Source organism: Homo sapiens, chromosome 12 (assembly GCF_000001405.40).
Source record: "Homo sapiens chromosome 12, GRCh38.p14 Primary Assembly".
Taxonomy (NCBI): domain Eukaryota; kingdom Metazoa; phylum Chordata; class Mammalia; order Primates; family Hominidae; genus Homo; species Homo sapiens.
Genome location: NC_000012.12, coordinates 117,438,226 through 117,460,128, shown reverse-complemented (window position 1 = coordinate 117,460,128; position 21,903 = coordinate 117,438,226). Strand labels below are relative to the sequence as shown.

Sequence of the window (21,903 nt, the reverse complement as noted above, 5' to 3'; positions counted from 1 at the left end):
GAAAACTCGCCGGATTTGCATTATTGAAAGGGTCCTGGGACAAGCATGCATTGGAAATGCTTAGGTAAAATGAAACTAATTTCTTGATTGCAGGACTTATCAGAACTTTTAAGACACTATTGTGTGGTTGAATCTCTAAATGCCTGATAGGAGGCTGTTCTTCCCAAGCTTTCCCAGGCTTGTTTCTGAATCTCCAACAAGGTCAACCTCTGTGAATGAGACTTGATACCTTACCTGGTACTGAAGGAGGCAATGTCAATGTACTGGCCCACAGAAAAGAGCTGACCACTAGCATTCATAGACACTGCTAGGAGATGAGAAAGGTAGCTTAGAGCCCGATTCCATCCATGTGGACAGTGGTTCCATGAACAAGAACACCACATCTGGCTGATGGTGTCTTCCAATGGAGGGGTCAAATCTGCTGTGTGTTGGTGGCTTCTCCAACATACCATGGCTTGGAGGCCAATGTGAAAAGTATATAAGATGTAACACCCTCAGAAGGGTTAAGTTTTCACCTGAGTTTTCATCTTCAACCAAGTCATTGGGATGGTGATCTAGAAGGACCTCTAAGATCTAGAAGGATAAAGATCTGGTCCAAGGAGTACAAATATGTAATGGATCTACCACCAGTGTCCCCTGCTGTACTCTTGGCAGACATCACTAATCCATCACAGCATGCCTTCCCACTGATCACAGATGTAGCTTCAGGGCATTCGAGTTACCACTTAAGATGGATATGAGTGACCCTCCCTTATCTCACTCTTCTCCTTTCACAGAAGCAGGATCTGAGGCCCAGAGAGGGAAGCTATAATAAACTCCCCTAAGTCAGGTCCCTTCTAAGAGGCAGAGGTAGGTTTAGAACTCAGGCCTCAGAAACTTCCAGAAGCCAAGCCATTTGGGCTGTAGTTGGTGGACAGTCTATCAGCGCTCTGCAGATGTTTCTTCTCAGTTAGGGAACTTGGAAAATGCAGAAAGAAAGATTCTGTCTCTAAGACTCTGTGTATGATCCTACTCGGTAATCTGCCTGCTTGGAGAAAAATCATTTATCTTCTGGGACGGCTTCACCACAAGGCCTGAATGCTATGCCCAGTCTAGTAACAGCTGGGCTGGAAGTCACGGCATATGGGGGCCTTAAGGAATAACAGTGTGCGTGGTGGTGTGCAGGAGAGCTGCAAGGGCTTTTCTTTCTTGAGGAGGTTTGTAAAATTTCTGCTGTTCAGTCTGGGCTTCTGGGAAGTCAGGGGGTGCTGCATATAAAGGGCAGGAAAAGGAGCCTGACTCCAATTGCTCTTTGGTTTCTTCCCTGAATGGAAGGCTCAAAATCAAGTTTCCACCCAGATAAGATCTTGAGGTCCTAGTGGACCACCAGCTCTACTCCTGAGCTCTTGAAATACCTCTAATCACCAGCTCGGTGGCTGAGAGTACCTTCTTGTCCACTGCCTCTTCTTTTCCTTCTCGTCTTCACTTATCCCCCATCCAACTTCTGCCCGATAATATCTCCCCTGTATTGTAAACTGAGGAGAAAGTTGCACAATTGTAGAGATGAAAAATAGCTGCCATGTATTTAGCTTAAATTAGCTCAGAAGAAAGGCTCCCTCCCTCCATTGAGCGGGCAGCACTTGTTTATGCCAACATGCTATTTGCATCGCGCCTTCTTAAATTTGAAAGTCTAATGATTAAAAACAAATCTTAGTTTTTCTTTTCCACCACTTAAAAAAAAAAAACCAGCTTGGCTAGTTCTTCTAGTTTAAAAATACCCTGACCTCCAGCACTACAGTGAGAATTTTGGAAAGGCTGGTACCAGGATATCAGGAGGAAATAAATACAGGCCAACAATAACCAGAGGCCTTTTCTGAGTGGTGGGCGACAGGATGAACAAGGTAGAAGAGAGGTCTTTGTGTCCTCACACAGATGCTGGCATTCTGGGTTTGTCTGGAATTCAGTGAACCTCTGTCCTCTCTGACAGAGATTTCTTCACCAACCATTCATTCAGTGGGTGATTTGTTGAGCATCTACTATGTGTTAGACCCTGGGCATTCAGTGATGAGTGATACAATGTCTCACCTGTTCTGAAGCCTAAAGCCCAATGGGGAAGAGAGACAAGAAGCAAGTCAACCACAAATATATAAATTTGCAACTCATGTAGATCTATGGAAAGAAAACTCACGGGGGACCAGAAACATGGGAGAGGGTATACTGTGGGAGAGCTGCTGACAAAGGTCTTTCTGAGGAGGTGACATTTAAGTCAAGATCTAAAGGAAGAGAAGGATAAAGAGATGTTCATTCTAAGCCAGGGTTTCTCAACCTCAGTACTGTTGAGCTATTTGGGGCCAGATAATTCTTTGAGGTGGCGACTGTCCTGGGCATTGGAGGATGTTAAGCAGCTTCCTCAACTCTCCCCACAAGATACCAGTAGCACCTGGTACTGGTGACATCCAAAAACATCCCCAGACACACCCTGACTTTGCTGTCTGGAATCAATCCTCATAAAGCCCCAAGCCTTGGAGCACAGAGGCTGGAAGCCCATATGGTGGCATGTCAGGCATGGTGTCACCTGAGCTTCTCTGACCCCCACTTCTGATATGGCATCCAGTTTGGAGTCTCTGTTCTCCATGAGCTCCCATAGCTGTCCCATATTCCACAAGGCATTGCTTCTGGGCCACGGTCCTCTAGTTCCAGCATAGCCCTATTTTTGGGTATGTTGGTGGATTTCAAAAGCCTCCAGTTGACATCCAAAGTGTGACATCCAAAACCATCTCCAGACATTGCCAGATGTCCCCTGAGTTGTCTCCAGGCCACGCGACTAGGATTCAAATCCAGCATCCTGCCATCTGCAACCTTCCATGGGAGAAAGGAAATCAGAGGAGAACAGGAAAACACAAGGAGGGGACTCCTTAAGTGAACATTGCAGGGAAATAGGTTTTTAAAGCACTAGTTAGCATCACCAGTGGTTTGAAGGCTGTCTAGGTAAGGAGAATGTGGACTTGCCTTTCACCGTCTGCACGGACAGGGGCTGAAATCTCCAGTCATTCTCTCCATCCTTCCACAGCCCTTCTAAGAAGCAGATCCTCTTGCTGAGCTGAAATCTTGAGACTTGCATCCGGCAATCTTGGTGTTGCTTTCTGAGGCTACTCAGGGAAAGCCCTTCTGTATTCCCCAGGAAGGAAAGTCTCCCAGATAGTGAAGGGCCTTTTCTACCTTCCTTGCAATTCCCAGTTCACTGTGAAGAAGAGAGTCAGGCCGGGTTAGAATGGCTGTCTCTGGTAGCAATGAAGCAACAACATAGACAGTCTGGACAAGATGTGGCAGTTCTGTCCAGTCCCGTGTGACTGATTTGGGCATGGAGACAGGCAGTGGGTGAGGATGGCCTCTGTAGGTCCAGCTGTTTTACCCCTAGAATCAAATCCCTGGAGCTTCCGGCAGTCCCAGGATTGGGAAGGGTAACAGAGAGGACGAGTCGGGCACTGCAAAAGACCAGATCTTGGAAAATTGCTTTGGGAATTGGGACACCTTCCAAGAAGACAGTTGAGTTGGCTGGGGCTCTGCCCTAGATGGGGTCAACCTCTCCCCAACACAGCCCTGCCCAGGTTGGGGCATTGGCAGCTTAAGTGCGTCCTGGACAACAAATGTAATGTATTGGTCCTGTAAGATTCTAGCCATTTTCCTCTGCTTATTTTTCTACATGTGTTACAAGTAATAATGTTTAGATGGGTACATATGAACTTGTGTAAGTTCAAGTAACTGCTATGTAGCTACAGCATGGGCATCAAGGTACTCTAAGGTACTTGCCCTGCCACACCGAGGCCCCCTGCCCCGGCCCCCTTTCCCTCCTAGCCAGCCTTCTAGGGAGCACTGCACACCCTGCCCCTTCAAAGCTATCTGGACAGTCCTGGCTCGACTGGAGCATTAAGGGAGGGGCTGTCCTTGGTCAGGCTTCTGCCCAACTGTGTGATGCATAAATCTTTGCCTGGCTCCTTCTTCCTTCTTTTCGGAAGTCTATCTCCTCCTGAGGGCCTCTGCGGTCCTAACCTATCAAGGAATATCATAGATTGTACTCCCCACCCCATCAAAACACACCCTGACTTTGCGTCTGGAATCAATCCTCATAAAGCCCCAAGGCTTGGAGCACAGAGGCCAGAAGCCCATATGGTGGCATGTCAGGCATGCTGTCACATGAGCTTCTCTGACTCCACTTCCAAGATGGCATCCAATTTGGAGTCTCTGTTCTCCATGAGCTCCCATAGCTGTCCCATATTCCACAAGGCACTGCTTCTGGGCCCCGGTCCTCTAGTTTCCTCATAGCCCTATTTTTGGGTACATTGGTGGATTTCAAATGCCTACAGTTGAGCAGCCGAAGGATTCTAAGAAAATTTTGCTTGTATTTCAAAGGCTCATGTCCCCAGCCCCATTCACTACACCCTCAGCAGAGCCCAGCGTGGAGCAACCTTGTCCCTTCATTCCCCAAATCTTCATTTTATATAGTCATTTAGTAAATATTTGTTAAGTGCCTCCTGTGATTCTGGAAAAAATGGAGAAAAGTGGGTGCTGCCTTCAGGGTACTAGGAGTCCGATGAAGAGAGGGAGGAGTTCCAGTAGGGTCCCGAGGCCCCACAGGAGCTCCCAACCCAGAGAAAGACCCTCCAGGAAGGATTCTCAGAGGAGGAGACTTCTGAACCCTGTCTTGAAATTTGAGTAGAATGGTAGGGAACGGTGTGTCAGACAGAAGGAACAGCCTATGTGTGGACTCAGAGGCAAGATCATGATTTATTGAGGGTAACTGCAAGTGGCTAAAATCCTGCCCCCTGGCACTTGCCTGCCTTTCCCTGCTTTCCCCAAAGCCTGATTTTGGGACCCTGGAGTCTCCATCTCCAAACAGAGGGTGCCCTGGCTCAGATGTGGAGACCTTGACTTCTTTCCCCAGCATGCTCTGGTTCCTACTGTTAGCCTTGGTGTCCTGTGGGGGAAGATGTCTGAGGAGAGTTTTGTGCTTGCTGGAGTCAGACCAGTACTCAGGCCACCTCAGGCCTGCTCTGCATCCCTCTCTGGCTCTACAGACCTCTCTCTCTCTCTCTCTCTCTCTCTCTCTCTCTCTCTGTCTGTCTGTCTCTGTGTCTGTCTCTGTCTCTGCCTGCCTCCACACAGTGAAGGATGTGTCTCTATTTCTTAGTGCCCTGCATTGGGTCCTGAAGTCCATGGGCATCTTGGCTATAGATGGGTTGGCCATGAGCCCTTCTCTCTAATGCATTTTTCATTCCTGTTCCTCTTTTGCTTCACTTTCCCTCTATCGACTCTTGCGACCTGTGTCTCTGATGTCTCTGGGGCCCCCAGTTCTGTCTTGCCATACCAAAAAACCTTCTTCAGCAAAAAACCTCTTTCTGGGACAGTTCATATCACTCTATGAATAGGCCCCTGAAGTGTTGAGGTCAAGGACATGTGTGAACGTGGAAATGTATTTATGGAAAGACCCTACACTGAGGGTCTCTAACTAAACATTTCAGGTATGATGGGCAAAATGCTGGTTTGTTACAGAAATGACTGAAGAAGACCTAGGGGCCATAGTGGGCCACAGGCCAAGCCTGCAATACAGCCTGAAGTGTGGGAAAGAATGTATCAGTCCTGTTGATGGAGTGGTGTGTTTGCTGTCTCTATAAATATGTCAGGGTTTGAAAGACAGAAAACAAAGCATCTTTGCTGACCGCCAGACTCCCAGGGTATATGTGGCTACTGCAAATTAGCGAGGCTTGTTTATCTGCTTCAACTTGACTCAATTTGCATTTCTTGAGCCACTGTCTATTGTGGATAATGATTTCATCAACACTTTCTCAGCATCAGCAGCCCCTCCAGAGTATTCCTTGAATTTTCTTAGCTTTGTGCAACCCACGAGCACTTAATATATCACTAACCCTTGAGTTTATTGGAGGGAGTGAATGAAATAATGAATGTCAATAACGTTACGCAATACCTGGCACACAGTAGGTGCTTCATCAATGTGGCTTTTCTTCTCAATCACCCAAATGAACCTCCCCCAGAATCCCACCTCTAGGGGGACATTCCTGAAAAATAAGGGACTAGAATAGCGAGGTGGTGGGTGTTACCCATTTATTTAGATATTTGTGTCCTGGTGAACATGGGGAGGGATGCCCAAGTGTCATAAGGACACCCCCTCCCCCCGTCTACAAGGCAGAGGTCTCTTAGGATGTGAGAGAGTCTCTGGCAAGACCAGCCCCCACCCCACCAAGGCCCTCATAGAAACAGAACATTCTTCCTCCCTATCCCAAAGCAGAAGTTGACTGGGGCAGATAAGGCAAGTCACATTACATCTGTGCCCTTGACCATACCTGGACCAGGCAGAGAAGATCCCAGACTTAGGTGGTCAACGTTTCCACCCCAAGCCTCTCATTTCTCGCTCTCTTTGAGACTTGATCTTGTACCAGGATCCACTCGACAGACTTAACGCATGATTAATTTGATTGATTACTCTTGAAGTTACTGACCTTAGGAAAATTCCTCAATTGTAAAAAGGCTTTCTCTATATGTAAATTATGCTGTTATCTTTTTCTATACACAAAGTATATAGACCTATAAATATTATACATATATATTATATATATAAAGACTAATTCTTGTACAGACCAACGCGGACCGATGGTCCATATTCTTTTCTCCATGTTTGTTTGTGTCGACTGTTGCAGAGTGAGTTGATGTAAGAAGGTGGTTTCATGTTTTCTTTTGGGGGGCCACTTCTTTCTTTTCCTTTCCGTTTCTATCTCTGTCTGTCTCCGTCTCTGTCTCTCTCTTTCTCACTTGTTGCCAATGTCTTGTTGCTGAGAAGGAACACTCTATTCAGATGCCATCCAGGAAAGAAAGGCCAGATGGATGGAGGGTCCACTGTGTATATTTGTACAGAATCATTTATAAAGTTTTCTACACTTCTAAAAAAAGTATTTCTAACTTGGGCTGTTGGACAGTTTGTGTGCCTCTGAGCCAGCAAGCCTGTTGTTTCTTGTGTTTAGTGCAATGTTTAGTGAGAAACCAATGTCTGAATTATTTATGCCAATAAAAAATTTGAGAATTACTGCATTGCACTACTGCCAAGACAGGTCTGAATTCTATTGTTGTCTGTTGTACAGAAAGAAGCTTGAATTATGACATTGGCCATTGTATCAGCCAGCTATCACCACGGTAATGCTGTGTAACAAGCCTCCCCCAAACTCCATAGCTTACAACAGCTAACATTTATCCTCGTGCTCGTGGGTCTGCGATTCTAGGTTGGGTTTACCTAAGAGGCTCCTCTTTAGGCTTCAGGTCAAGTTCAAGTCAGCTCCACATGTCTCCCTGTTTCAGGGGCCAGGCTGAAGAAGAAACTCCCTGGGGCATGCTCTTCCCATGAAAGATCATCAGAACATATGAGCCAAACAAGGCTGGGCATGATGGCTTAAGCCTGTAATCCCAGCACTTGGGGAGGCTGAGGCAGGCAGATTGCTTTAGCCCAGGAGTTTGAGACCAACCTGGGCAACATGGCGAAACCTCATCTCTACAAAAAAAAAAAAAAAAATTAGCCAGGTATGGCAGCAGTCACCTGTAGTCCCAGCTACTCAGGAAGCAGAAGTGGGAGGATCACTTGAGCCTGGGAAGTTGAGGCTTCAGTGAGCCATGATTGTGCCACTGCACTTCAGCCTGGGTGACAGAGCAAGACCCTGTCTCAAAAAAAAAAAAAAAAAAAAAAAAAAGCCAACCAGCCTGTAGAGACACATTCATGACATCATCTCAAACCATATGCACTAACATTTCATTGGGTCAAGCAAGTCAAATAACTGAGCCTTTCAATAGGACAGTATTGTAAACTCCACCCAGAGTGGGAGGGGGAAGGAAGTGAATGTTTCCTGCACCGTAATCCAAGTTATCACAGTCTGGCCAAGTATTCTTCCAGCCAGCCCGGCAAAAATGCATTCTCTCCCCTAGGGACAAATGCAGAAATTCGTCCGTGAATTCGTCGTGTGAATGCAGAAATATACACGGATGTGCACACAACTACAGCTCTCCACACTGAGCATGTGATCTGTGCCCAGATTAATCCCCACAACCACACAATTCCATTTTATAGATGTGAAGGCTGGGTGCAGAGGGATGAAGTAACTGGCCCACCCCAAGTTCAGAACCCAAAACTCATAGCCCTCTTGGGGCCACACACAGCATGATGGGCTTCTAAGTACCTTGGATTTTTAAAAGCCACTTTATAAAGTGCTTTTATGAAACAAGATCTCACCTGACCTGGAAAACCAGTGAGGCTGGGACTATTCAACTCATTCGACAGCAGAATAACTGAAGATGGAGAAACAGGCTATCCGGCAAATCTGACTGGAACTCCCAGGCCCCTCCCTTGAGGAGCTGCTGCTGAGAGATGGAAGAACTGGCCTCATCTGTCCTGGTAAGTTCTTCTCAGCATGCGCTGGAAGGGAGCAGACTGACAGGCTGGAGTCTAATTCTGTTAAATAGCACTGCCATATGCAAGCTATATTGCCCTGGCCAGGTCACTTAGCTGCTCTGAGCCTCCACTGTCTCATCTGTAAATGGGCATAATTATTGTACCTGTAGTACCTACCTCCCAGCGTTATGAGGCTTAGATGAATTAACATCAGTACTTGGAGCAGTGACCAGCACCCAGTAAGTGTTCTTAAATACATGAGTTGCTAGTTTGAATATTTATTGCTAGGCTGGGCGTGGTGGTTCACACCTATAATCCCAGCACTTTGGGAGGCCGAGGCAGGTGGGTCACTTGAACTTAGGAGGAGTTCAAGACTAGCCTGAGCAACATGGTGAAACCTTGTTTCTACTAAAAATACAAAAAAATTAGCCAGGCATGGTGGTGGGTGCCTGTGGTCCCAGCTGCTTGGTAGGCTGAGGCAAGAGGATCTCTTGAGCCTGGGAGGTGGAGGTTGCAGTGAGCCAAGATCGCATCACTGCACTCCAGCCTTGGCGACAGAGTGAGACTGTCTCAAAAAAAAAAAAAAAGAAAAAAGAAAAAAGAAAAGTATGACTGTGGTTCATTTCTAACATTAGTGCCTAAGGGCAAACTCCACGGTGAGTGACCGTCTGCACCCTAGAATGCAAATCTCTGCTGAGTTAACCCAGATCTGTCTCACCCTCAATCTCTCTCTCAGAGAACAGCAATTGGTATCTAGCACTGTAAACTTTTCGACACACCTTCACAAGCATGATTTCTTCCCACTTACCACGTTCAGATGGGGTGGGTGTATGAGTTGGCCCATTTTACACAAGGGGAAACTGAGGTTGCAAAAAGTGAAAGTCTCCTACAGTATCTGCATGTCTGTCCTGGGCTATCTCACTCAGACCAGCTGGGTGACCCAACTGGGCAATGACATCAACTGTCAGAACCTCAGTTTTTTTTTACTGTAGAATTGGGATAATAACTACATTCATTTCAGAGAGTTATGGTCAGGATTAAAAGCAGGTAAAACATGTAGCACAATTCCTGGCATAAACAATCAATACACATTAGCTATTTCAAGCCCAGATCTGACATTAATCTCTGGGAGAGTGTTGACGTGGGGAGGCGGTGTGAAACAATACCAGAACCTTCCATCCTCCTCTCTCCTTTTGCAGGCATAAGAGAAGGGGAAGAGTCTTTCCTGGGGCCTGGAACTAATTGATTATCCTGGTTCTGGCTTGTGGTCTTCTGTGGCCTTGGGGTCGCCATCAATCAGGCACAGCAGGTGCTGAGCTGAGTGAGGGAAACCTTGCGAGTAATCGGAACTAAACAGCTCATTAACCTCTGTGCACAGGCTTCAGGGCAAGTGCCTGGTAACCAGAAACACAGGCACAGATGAGGTGCCTGCCCAGCTGCCTGGGTAGCAGGGACAAGGCCTCTGAAACCCCTCTAGTCCTGGACTCCTCTTCACCTTTGCCCAGAATGAGACTCTCCAGAGCCCACCCACATCTCCCATCTCCCATCATTCAGTTCCCAGGAACAGTGCTAAGCACATTACATTTGTCATCTCACTTAACCCTTACCATGGTCCCATGCAGCAAATGCTATATTGTTCTTGTTATGCAGATGAAGCTCCTGAGGCTCAGAGAGGTTAAGTGACTTGCTCAGCATCACACAGTGGGAAGTGTGGAGCCAAGATTCATACCCAGACCATTTGAATCTGGGGCCCATGCTCTGAACTGCAATTCAGTTTTTTTGTTTGTTTTGTTTTGTTTGAGACAGGGCCTCACTCTGTTGCCCAGGCTGGAGTGCCGTGGTACCATCTCAGCTCACTGCAGCCTCAACCTCCCGAGCTCAGACGATCCTCCCACCTTAGCCTCCCAGGAAGCTGGGACTACAGGTGCGTGCCACCATGCCCAGCTAATTTTGTTTATTTTTTGTAAGACAGAGGTCTCTCTGTGTTACTCAGGCTGGTCTTGACCTCCTGGGCTCAAGTGATCCTCCTGCCTCAGCCTCCCAAAGTGCTGCAATTACAGGTGTGAGCCACCTCTCCTGGCCTGAATTGCAATTCTTGATGACTTCCAGGGAAGACAAGAGGCAACGAAAAGCCATTGCAATGAATCAATGCTTCTCAACCAGGGACGATGTTGCCCCCCCCACCTCCCCCGGGGAACTTGGCAATGTCCAACTGAGGGATGCTAACGGCATCTAATGGCTAGAGGCCCAGGATGCTGTTCAAATCCTCTAATGCATAGGACAGCCCTCCACAACAAGAATTATCCAGCCCAAAATGCCAGTGGTGCTGGGGTTGAGAAATCCTGCAAGTACAGGACATGGTGGGGCACATGGGCTTGGGTTACAGTGGGGAGCAATTGGACAGTGTTCACGGAAGAACTGAAAGACCTTGGTTGGAGAGCAAGTCATCTGCTTTCACTTTACAGACGCAGCAAGAGAAGTGATGTAAATTGCTAAGGGACAGACTGAAATCTAAGCCAGCATTCCTAAACACCTTCTATGCAGTGGGCACAGGGCCAGGGATGCTACCAGCTCACACATTTAATGATCATTCATTCAGACATTGCCCAGCTTAGTCAAGACCCTTGGAGTTGAAAACAGTCATCCCCATTCTGTAGTTGCAGAAGCCAAGGCTCAGAGACATGTGCTATGTGCTCAAAGCCACACAGCTAGAAAGGGCCAGAGCTGGGATTTGAACCTGGGTCTCCCGTCAATTGCACGGTCACATTTTCCGAAAAGCAAACCAAAGACACTAACCTCAGGGAGTCTGCCGCCACCTCTGAGCAGGAGCATCTTGTATGCATAGTCAGGAAATCCCCGATATGAGTTTGTGTCGTGGCCAAAACACCACTTAGCCGCTGTGTGACCTTGGGTAAGTCATTTCACCTCTTGGAGCCTTGGCCCGCTCATCTGTAAAATGGAAATCATGAAAGTGCCTATTTCAAAAAATTGTGAATCCTCATTGACTTAATGTAAAAAACTTTCAGTGTTTAGCACAGAGTAAGACTTCAGTGCATGTTTTAGTTCAGGGCATTCTGGGAAGCAGCATTGGGACTTGGATGGGGGACGTTTGTTGAGGGCCTCGAATGCCAGGCTAAAATTTGGGGCTTAGGCTCATAGGCAGTGGTGGTCCAGAGGTGGCCAGTCAGTTGATGTGGTCAGCCGTGCAAACCCCACATGCACGGTGCAAGCAGTTCTTCCCCCATCCTGAAATGAGCTCTGGGGAAAGGTCCATGTCCCCCTTGAGCATTTCATACATCTTCCAGGAGGCTCCAGGGAGTTCAGGTAGGGTCATGTCCAGGGTGAGGCAGGTATGGCCTGTGCAGGTGGCTGGAGCTCCAGGTAAGGGTGGAGTTGGCCAAAGCGGGGACTCTCACTCCTGGCTGGGACCCTCTTCTCATAGGCCTACAGGTTCCAGAGGTGGCCCCACCCTCAAGTCCCCGCCTTACCTTCCGGGAGCTGACCCATGTGCTCACACATGCACACACACACGTGTGCACAGAGATACTCTATCGTCCACATGCACACCCACATCCACACTTGCTCAACTTTAGGACATGTAAATTCCTACTGCTCACCCCACACACTCTCACACGCCAATCCCTCCCCACTACCTCTGGCCACCACTGCCCTCTGGTTGGGGCTGGGTCCCTGCAGGCCTCACCTGACCTGACATTAACATTAGTTTCCAAAACATGCCCAACAGTAACTGTTTGTCTAAGCAGTCTGCAATGGTTGCCCCTGGGGTGAGTTGCTTGTTCCATGGCTGCAGGCAGGCAGCTGGGAGTGTCCAGGTCCAGCTCTAAATGTAAGTCCCTGCCCTTCCCAGGGCTCCAAATTACAGTAGTGTTTGACAATTGGGTCATTGTTTTTCCTGCACCATTTATAACTCCTGGAGCTCCCCTGGGGGTTTATGAACATGGAAAATGTCATCTCAGCAGCTAACAAGCCAAACAAGGAAACACACATCCTTAAGCTCCAAGATCAGTGGCTTCATCCAGGACTTGGAGTTTTCCTGAAATGTGTTCATGGGAGGTTAGTGAATATGGTCAAAAAGCAAAAGGGGCCGGACATGGTGGCTCACACCTGTAATCCCAGCACTTTGGGAGGCCAAGGCTGGTGGATCACCTGAGGTCAGGAGTTCGAGATCAGCCTGGCCAACATAATGAAATTCCCTCTCTACTAAAAATACCAAAAATTAGCCGGGCATAGTGGTGGGTGCCTGTAATCCCAGCTATTCAGGAGGCTAAGACAGGAGAATTGCCTGAACCAGGGAGGCGGAGGTTGCAGTGAGCCGAGACGGCGCCATTGCACTCCAGCCTGGGCAACAAGAGTAAAACTCCATCTCAAAAAAAAGAAAAAGAAAGATAAGAAAAAGGGCACTAAGTGAAACTAAGTTAAGTTGGCTCTTTGCAGCAGGACTTGTCACTCTTCTTTTTTTGAGACAGAGTCTTCATATTAGTTCATTTTCATGCTGCTGATAAAGACATACCTAAAACTGCGAACAAAAAGAGGTTTAATTGGACTAACAGTTCCCCATGGCTGGGGAGGCCACAGAATCATGGCAGGAGGCAAAAGGCACTTCTTACATGGTGGTGGCAAGAGAAAAATGAGAGAAGCAAAGCAGAAAGCCCTGATAAACTCATCAGATCTTGTGAGACTTATTCACTATCATGAGAACAGCACAGGAAAGGCTGGCCCCCATGATTCAACTACCTCCTCTGGTCCCTCCCACAACACGTGGGAATTCTGGGAGATAACAATTCAAGTTGAGATTTGGGTGGGGACACAGCCAAATCATATCAGTCTTGCTCTGTTGACCAAGCAGGAGTGCAGTGGTGTGATCTCAGCTCACCACAACCTTCGCCTCCCGGGTTCAAGAGACTATCCTGCCTCAGCCTCCCAAGAAGCTAGATTACAGACATGTGCCACCCACCACACCCTGCTAATTTTTGTATTTTTAGTAGAGATGGGGTTTCACCATGTTGGCCAGGCTGGTCTCCAACTCCTGGCCTCAAGTAATCCTTCCACCTCAGCCTCCCAAAATGCTGGGATTACATGCGTGAGCCACTGTGCCCAGCCTGTCAGTTTTTAATATGCCCATGAACATTATAACTCCCTTAGGAGAGGCTAGAGTAGGTAGGTTTCTCAACTTACTTGGCTTCAGAACCCTTTTTTCACTATATCTTGGTGGATTCATGCTCCATGGAATGCTTTGAGAAACACTACACTCAGACATGGGAAAAATTCAAAGTATATTCTGAGAACTTTTACAAACCAGGCAGCCTAATAGTCCATGTTTCCTGGACCATTAGATGAAAGGAAAAAAAAAAAAAAAAAGAAACTTCAGAGATACTGATATATTGTCTCAGCTTTTTATTTTGCCAAGTAAAGACATTAAAAAAACCAAAGCAAAACAAAAACAAGATCTTTCCAACGTAGTATCAACATTGTTTTATAAAAGAAAGGCAATCTATTACCCCAAGATTAGTAGGGCCTTAATTTGAAGAATAAAAATGTAAATGCTCTTATATTTTCTCATTTCTCCAAATACCAGTGAGGTGGAGACCACAGTTCATAGACAAGTGTTTGGGGGCCACTTTGATCATTACACATTCTACGCATGTAACAAAATATCGCACCTACACCATAAATATGTGCAAATACTATGTATCAACTTTAAAATGTTTTTTTAGAGTCCCTGGATTCTGGACTTGGATACCAGGGGTTTGAACCGCCGCTCTTGGTCTCACTGACTTGGGACTCTTAGAGGTTGCCATGTATGTGTGCCCTTCCCCCACCTCTGCAGGCTTTTGCTTCTAACATTCTAACAACCGCTCCTGTAATTGTCATAGGATCACTTTTTTTTTTTTTTTTTTTTTTGAGACGAAGTCTCACTCTGCTGCCCAGGCTGGAATGCAGTGGTGCAATCTTGGCTCACTGCAACACCCACCTCCTGGGTTCAAGCGATTCTTCTGCTTCAGTGTCCTGAGTAGCTGGGATTACAAGCACATGCCACCATGCCCAGCTAATTTTTGTACTTTTAGTAGAGACAGGGTTTCACCATATTGGCCAGGCTGGTCTTGAACTACTGACCTCAAGTGATCCACCCAACCTGACCTCTCAAAGTGCTGGAATTACAGGCGCGAGCCACGAGCCCATCCACCAAGCATGTTTTAAACATAAATTCCATTGCATTCCATTGCAATCAAACAGCAATAATTGTTACCATTTATTGAAAGTTGCTGAGGGCTCATTGAGTCCCCTCAAAGGCCCCATGAGGTAAGCACTGTTGTTATGCATGCCCATTTGAGAGGTGAAGAAACTGAGGCTTAGAGAGGACTGATTTGCTGTAAGTCACACAGCAGGTAATACAGCAGGCAGAGCTGGGATTTGAACTGGGGTCTGAACGCCAAACTGTGCTCCTAAATCATTGCTTTTAAGAGTGTTAGACAGACTCAGGGCTGCATTTCATTTAGGGCTAATTATTTCCCACTACTCAGGCAAGACCCTTCTGAAGAATCTGACCGATGCTCTGTGAATTATGAGGCTTTCCAGTCTGGCTCGTAGCAACAGGCACTCTTCCCAGGACTGTGTGAGAGGCTGTTTCCTCTAATCCCCTCAGATGGTGTCCCCAGCCTTGGGCAATTTCCTCTCAGTCACCATCAGCAGTCAGCTGAACCCTCAAGGGGACCTCCACAAACAATCATTGAGGACCCACCCACCAGGGGGATAAGGCACCAGGTGCTGAACGCCTGCTCTGTGCTATGGGGCTTTATACTTAATCCTCCAGTAACTCTCTGAAGCTGTGCTGTCCAATGCAACTGCCACGAACCACAGGCAGCTACTTCCACTTAAATTAATTACAATTAAATAAAATTTGAAAACCAGTTCCTCTGTCACACCAGCCATATTTCAAGTGTTTAATAGCCACGCGTGGCTAGTGGCTACCACCTTGGTGTCCATGTGTCCATTACGGCAGGAAGTTCTAGGGAATAGCAATTCATCCCCAATTCACAGATGAGGAAACTGAGGCTCTGGCTCAGGCTCCTGTATGATAAAGCCAGGATGGCACCCTGGCCTCTGATTCCAGCCACTCTGATTCCAAACTGCCTCTCCTACAAAGGCCCACAGTGGAGCTCAGCTCCAGGGACAGAAAGACAGATAAACACAGAGGAGCCCAGCCGAGCATTAGAGACAGACAAGTAATGGAAAGTGACAGTAGAGTGTGGCAACCCTTAGGATCTGTGGGCTCAGGGACACCTTGCCCATTTTGCTGAGAATATCCTGCCTCCTGTCTTCATTCCCTCAGTCAGCAAAACTTTCCAGATCGGCATTCCCCAAACGGGAGCCACTGACCACACGTGGCTACTGAACCCTTGAGATGTGGCTGATCTGAATTGAGTTGCAAGTGCAAAACACACACCAGATTTCAATGAGGTGCCAAAAAAGACTAAACTGTCTCATTAATAAATTTTAATTAATTACACACTGACATGATAGTTCTCAATGATACTGGATTAAAGTGTATTAATTACTGTAATTAATGCTGCCTGTTTCTTTTTACCTTTGAATGCAGCTACTAGAAAACTTACAATTATATCTGCAGCTTGCAGTATTTTTCTGGTGGTCGCTGCTTCTCTGAAGGTCCCAATCCCTGTGCTCTGCAAGAGGCCACAGAGTAGAACCAGAAGAGAAATCTGCAAAAGTCCAGGAAAGAGACTCGCTGCTCTAGGCTTGGTCTATGCAGCTGCGCATGGGCTCAGCATGGGAGGTGCTGGAAGCCGCGCATCAGAGGGCTAGGTGCACCGATTGGGAACCATAAGCAAGTGACTGGTCTTTCCTGTTTCCTCCTCTGTAAAATGGAAATAGTAATTATCCCTGCCTCCTGGAGTTATTTTAGAGGTTAAGTAAATTAATGAATGCAAAGTGTCTGTTGCATAGTTGGTGCTTAATAGATGACTATGATTTCCAACCAGGGACAATGTTATTACTACTTCAGGGTCACTGGCACTGTCTAAAGACATTTTGGGATGTCATAAGTGGAGGCGGAAGGGAGGTTATTACTGGCATCTAGTGGGTAGAGGCCAGGGACGCTGTTAAAATCGTACAATGCACAGGACAGCTCCTTGCCACAGTCATCCAGCCAAATGTTAACAGGGCCAAGGTTCAGAAACCTAAGGCAATGGCTATCACTGTGATTAACAGGATTAACACCTGTGGAAATTACCTAGTTAAAAGTCCAGTCGTGAGTGAGACCCCATCTCTGAAAAAGATGAAAAAATTAGCCAGGCGCGGTGGCACATGCCTATAGTCCCAGCTACTCAGGAGGCTGAGGTGGGAGGATCACCCAGGAGTTTGAGGCTGCAGTGAGGCATGACCACACTACTGCGCTCCGGCCTAGGTGACAAAGCAAGACCCTGTCTGATATGGGTTGGCCGTGTCCCCACCCAAATATCATCTTGAATTGTAGCTCCCATAACTCCCACATGTTGTGGGAGGGACCCGATGGGGGGGTCATTGATTCATGGGGGTGAGTCTTTCCCATGCTGTTTTCATGATAGTGAATAAGTCTCATGAGATCTGTTGGTTTTATAAATGGTAGTTCCCCTACACAAGCTCTCTCTTGCCTGCCGCCATGTCAGACGTGACTTTGCTCCTCCTTCACTTTCCACCATGATTTTGAGGCTTCCCCAGCCACGTGGAACTGTGAGTCCATTAAACCTCTTTCCTTTCTAAATTACCCAGTCTCGGGTATGTCTTTATGAGCAGTGTGAGAACAGACTAATACCCCGTCTCTAAAAAATAAAAATGAAATTCCAATCGTGAGACGGTAGACTTCACGAAGGCAGAAATTTTTATCAGTCTTGATCACTACTATATCCCCAGTGCCTAGGAGACAGCACATAGTAGGTGCTCAGGATATATTTGTTGAATGAAGAGACAAATGAATAAAATGGCAGGGCTACTTGTTGTCAAAGTCTCATGTGGTCAAAGCCAGAAAGAACATTCTGATCTGTGCATATATGAATATAAGAAATATTTGCCGACTGCTATGTGATGTGCTCTGTGCCACACACTGGAGGTATGATGGTGTAAACAAGACCCAGAAGGTAGAGCTCAGTCTGGTGGATACATCTGACAGATGAACAGGCAATTCTGGAGTCCCCTTTATAGCATCCTGCTGGAGTTATTTAATTGATGAGAAGCTCATTCGCTCACAAGGCAGCATACTCTGTGATTCTTATAAGAATATTCTTAGCCAGGCGTGGTGGCTTATGCCTGTATTCCCAGTACTTTGGGAGGCTGAGGCAGGTGGATCACCTGAGGTCAGGAGTTTGAGACCAGCCTGGCCAACATGGCAAAACCCCGTCTCTATGAAAAATACAAAAAAATTAGCCAGGCATGGTGGTGCATGCCTGTAATCCCAGCTACTCGGGAGGTTGAGGCTGGAGAATTGCTTGAACCTGGGAGACAGAGGTGGCAGTGAGCAGAGATCGTGCCACTGCACTCCAGCCTGGGCAACAGAGCGAGACTCCTTCTAAAAAAAATTATCTTTACTAGAGACAGCCACCACCACCAGGGTGCAGTCACCTGAGCTTAGAGCCCTTCCCTTGTCATCTCAAAGCCCCACTCTGTCCCCCAGGCACCTGCCCTATGCCTGGCTTGGGAGGGCCCCATGGCTAACAGCCCAGCCAGCTGCTTGCTCCCTTCTCATCTCTGCTTGACAAGCCAGGCTGGCTGAGTCACAGGCTCAGCTTCTCCCAACCCACGTGGGGTCTGGGTCTATGCCAGGGGGATGAGCGCCTGCCAGAGTGCCCGCAAGTCAGACCAAAAAGAGCCCATGAGCTTCACTGAGGATCAGACCTAAGAACATTCTGGAATCCCATGCTCTAGCTTGGAGCTCCCAGAGGGCCAGATGGCAGCAGACAGGTATGTAATTCTACCAGTGAGAAAACCAGGGCATCCAATGTGTTGGGGAGAACCTGCATTGCCTGAGAATAGTAATATAATAATTATTATTGTTATATGTTGTCATGGCTAATTATTGCTATTTATTGTCACGGTTAATTATTAAAGTGGACAGCCATGTCTGCATTGGTCACTGCTATATCCCCAATGCTTAGAAGGGTACCTGGCACATAATAGGTGCTCAGTGAGTTCTTCTGTGGAATAAATGCGTGAACAACAACAATAATAGCTACTTCTATTTGCTGAGCACATAACACAAGGAATTAATATTTATTTTTGTGGGGGTTTTACATTTGTCTGTCTCCACCACAGGGGCATGAGTGACTGACTTTGGTTTTTTGGGGTTTTTTTTGTTTGTGTGTTTGTTTTTTGAGACGGAGTTTCACTCTTGTTGCCCAGGCTGGAGTGCAACGGCATGTTCTTGGCTCAGTGCAACCTCCACCTCTCAGGTTCAAGTGATTCTCCTGCCTCAGCCTCTTGAGTAGCTGGGATTACAGGTGCCCACCACCATGTCCGGCTAATTTTTTTGTATTTTTAGTAGAGATAGGGTTTCACCATCTTGGCCAGGCTGGTCTCGAGCTCCTGTCCTCAGGTGATCTGCCCGCCTCTGCCTCCCAAAGTGTGTGAGCCACCGCACCTGGCCAACTGACTGTTTTTACAAGAATATTGTTCCTGTAAAAATTATATCCCCAGCACAGTGACCCATGTCTCGTAGGTGCTCAATAAATGTTGTTGAATAAAAAGGCAGGTGCTGAGTATTATCTCATTTATTTTCACGCAGCCCAGGCAGGGTGGGAGCGCCCGGGAGCACATTTTTAGAAAGGAGAAATTGAGACTAGAGAGTAAAATGACTTCTGAAGGTCACGCAGTTTGTGAGACTCAAATCAGAGCCAGGATCTGAACCCTGTGCACTTGCGGAACCTGTGTACTCCTCACTGCTGAGTCCCGCTGCTGGCAGTAAAGACAAAGAACAGGGTTGGGGGCCTTTGGCAAGGGCTCCCAGGGCAGAGTGGGGCTACTTTGGTACTCCCTCATCCTGCCCTGTGAACCCAAGTCACAAAGCCTTTTCCATGTGATGTCCCATTTGGGGTTCACAGCAGCTGCAGCCAAGCCCAGAGAGGTGGAGTAACTTGCTCAAGGTCACACAGCAAGTTGGGCACAGGTTTTCTGACTCTATGTCCAGTGCTCTTTCTCCTAAACCCCAAACTGTGGCTCAAACCTGGAGCCCTAATATAAGCAGGAACACATGTGAGTCAGGGAAGAAGGCTTGTATTTTAGCAGTGGACTTTACTTTCCCTGGCAACCTGCCCCAACACACCTGGTGGCAAATCCACGTTCCGTACTTTGCTGTGTGACTTTGAAAACTGGCATCCCCTCTCTAAGCCTCAATTTCCTCATCTCAAAAATGGGGATGACATTATCTATATTGCAGGTGGCCATGAAAATCCCTGACTCAATGTCAGATACAGCTGAATGTGTGTTCTGGCTCTTCTACTGTGTGACCTTGGAGAAGAAGCTTAGCTTCTCTGAGTCTCCGTTTCCTCATCTTGCAAAGTGGGTTAATAAATGCCCACCTTTTGGGGACACATGAGATTTAAGAGGGGACAGTGTGGGCACCATGCCTGGCCTGGTGCATAGTAAGTGTGCAATAAAAGGTAGTTCATGGGATCCTTTGTGACTGCCGTGGGTGGCCTCACTCAGGATCCGGCGGGCACAGCCTGGTCCCTGCAGACACAGTGCACTCGATCCTGGCTGTCCCCAGCCAGCTGGGGGGAAACCTGAGCCACCCTCCTCCTGGGCAGACGCTGCCACTGCTGCTGCCACCTCTAAATGAAAGAAAGGTCAGAGCCTGGGGAAGCCAGGGCCATGCCATGGAGGCAGCCGGCAGGAGAGGAAGGGAGGGGTGGCCGGTGACTGCCTGACTGCCCTTGTCTCTCCCAGGGAAGCCTGAACTGGCCTGGTCTGGGTGCAACCCCCCTGCCCAAGGCTTGGCCTCCCAACCCAGCAGAGCCGCCTCCCAGCCTGCCCCTGGGGAGGGGCCACCTGGTGTCAATTAAACCCCAGTCGCTCGGCCTGCACCACGCCAGGCGGCTGATTAGTGCCGCTGGCCTCTCCAGATGGGGAGCACTGTCTGAGAGGGGGTGACCGCCACCATGCCAGGGTGAGGCCTTGCCGGAGCTGGTGAGTACCCAGGCGGGGGCTCAGCTCCCCAGGCAGGAGGACCTGGTGTGCCCGAGCTGGGCATCATGGGGTGGAGGCTTACCGTAGGGCTCATTTTCCTGAAGCGTTACAGGGCCTCACAGCATCCCTGACCCCGTCACCTCAGCCTTACATTAAGGGTACACAAGGGGACCACAGGCCAGCCCCGTGTCCTTCCCCTCCAGTCACGCAGCCGCAGGGGCTCCCCCCAGACAGTGTCAGGAGACCTGATGGGTGAAGGAGGGATCAGTCGGCACAGTTGAGGCTTTAGGGTTTCCACTCTGCCCTCATTACCCCCAACAGAGCTGGTTCTCCCTGCTGGCCTGTCTGGGACTCTAAGCCTGGGTCCCTCCAACCTGCCAGCCTCAGAGCTCATGCTGTGGGTGGCACCATTGCTCGGCTGGCATGAGACCCCTGTGGGAAGCAGGCGTGGAGAGGCTGCTGTACTGGAGGCCGGAGCTGAGGGGGAGGCCACGCGCTTCAGAGGGCCACATGTCCTGGAGCACGACTGAGGGCCAAGGAGGGCCCTGGCCAGGATCCACAGATGCTTTTAGGGGCACCAGTGCAGCCTGCACACAGGGCCACTCTGCAGGATCTCAGCCACCTCCTGGTTCCTTGTGGAGAGTTGATCCCAGCAGGGACAGAGGAGGAGGTGGCTGCCTGCTCATGGGACAGATGTTGGGGTGGGGGGGACACAGGGAAAGCTCACCAGTGCCTCCAGGAAGTGGGGGGGACACATGAGTCGTCCTTGAGCCTGCACTGTCTGTAAACGCTGAGCCTCAGCTCCTGGCTGGGAGAGGTTCCGTTATCCATGAGAGGGTCCCTCGTGGTGACAGACAGTGTTATCACTTGGTGGTACCACCTGGTGGTCTGTGGCCACTGCCTGCCTTGGTGGAGGCAAAGTGTGTTTGAGATAGGATGGCAGGGCCTGGCCTGGGGAGATGGAACATCACTGAGTGTCCGTCCGCATGCGCGTGCTATCTGGGGTGCACATCGCTGAGTGTCCTTCCGCGTGCACATGCTGTCTGGGGTGCATTTTGGTCATGCACATCCCTGCAGCCCATTCTGTCCAGCAGGGCATAGTGCCTGCTCTGTGTGTGTGTGTGTGTGTGTGTGTGTGTGTGTGTGTGGTTGCATTTGATGCCAAAGCCATGCAGAGGAGGGCTCCGTGACAGTGTCACAGAATCACTGCAGACGGCTCCTTCCAGCTCAGTCTATCTTGGGGGTGTTTCCCAAGAGCAGCGCCCCCAGAGCTTCCTGGAGAGCTG

The 21,903-nt window shown here is 48.4% G+C and overlaps 1 protein-coding gene across 4 annotated transcripts in view, besides 3 other annotated features; it reads left to right on the top strand.

The window, feature by feature from the left end:
- The window catches only part of KSR2 (kinase suppressor of ras 2), a 515,979-nt gene extending 508,862 nt beyond the window's left edge, over positions 1 to 7,117 (top strand). For all 4 annotated transcript variants that reach the window (XM_011538224.4, NM_173598.6, XM_011538225.4 and 1 more), the window contains one exon: positions 1 to 7,117. This exon is cut by the window's left edge and continues 7,077 nt beyond it. The gene's annotated coding sequence lies outside the window, so the exon portion shown is untranslated.
- Positions 20,236 to 20,582: a promoter, noted in NCBI's record as "-279 to +49 promoter". NCBI's record gives its function as "drives expression in kidney" and the evidence as "EXISTENCE:transgenic organism evidence [ECO:0001131][PMID:16412259]".
- Positions 20,443 to 20,487: a protein binding site, noted in NCBI's record as "-90 to -47 Sp1 site". NCBI's record gives its function as "positive regulation of promoter activity" and the evidence as "EXISTENCE:protein binding evidence [ECO:0000024][PMID:11960979]".
- Positions 20,443 to 20,582: a promoter, noted in NCBI's record as "-90 to +49 core promoter". NCBI's record gives the evidence for it as "EXISTENCE:reporter gene assay evidence [ECO:0000049][PMID:11960979]".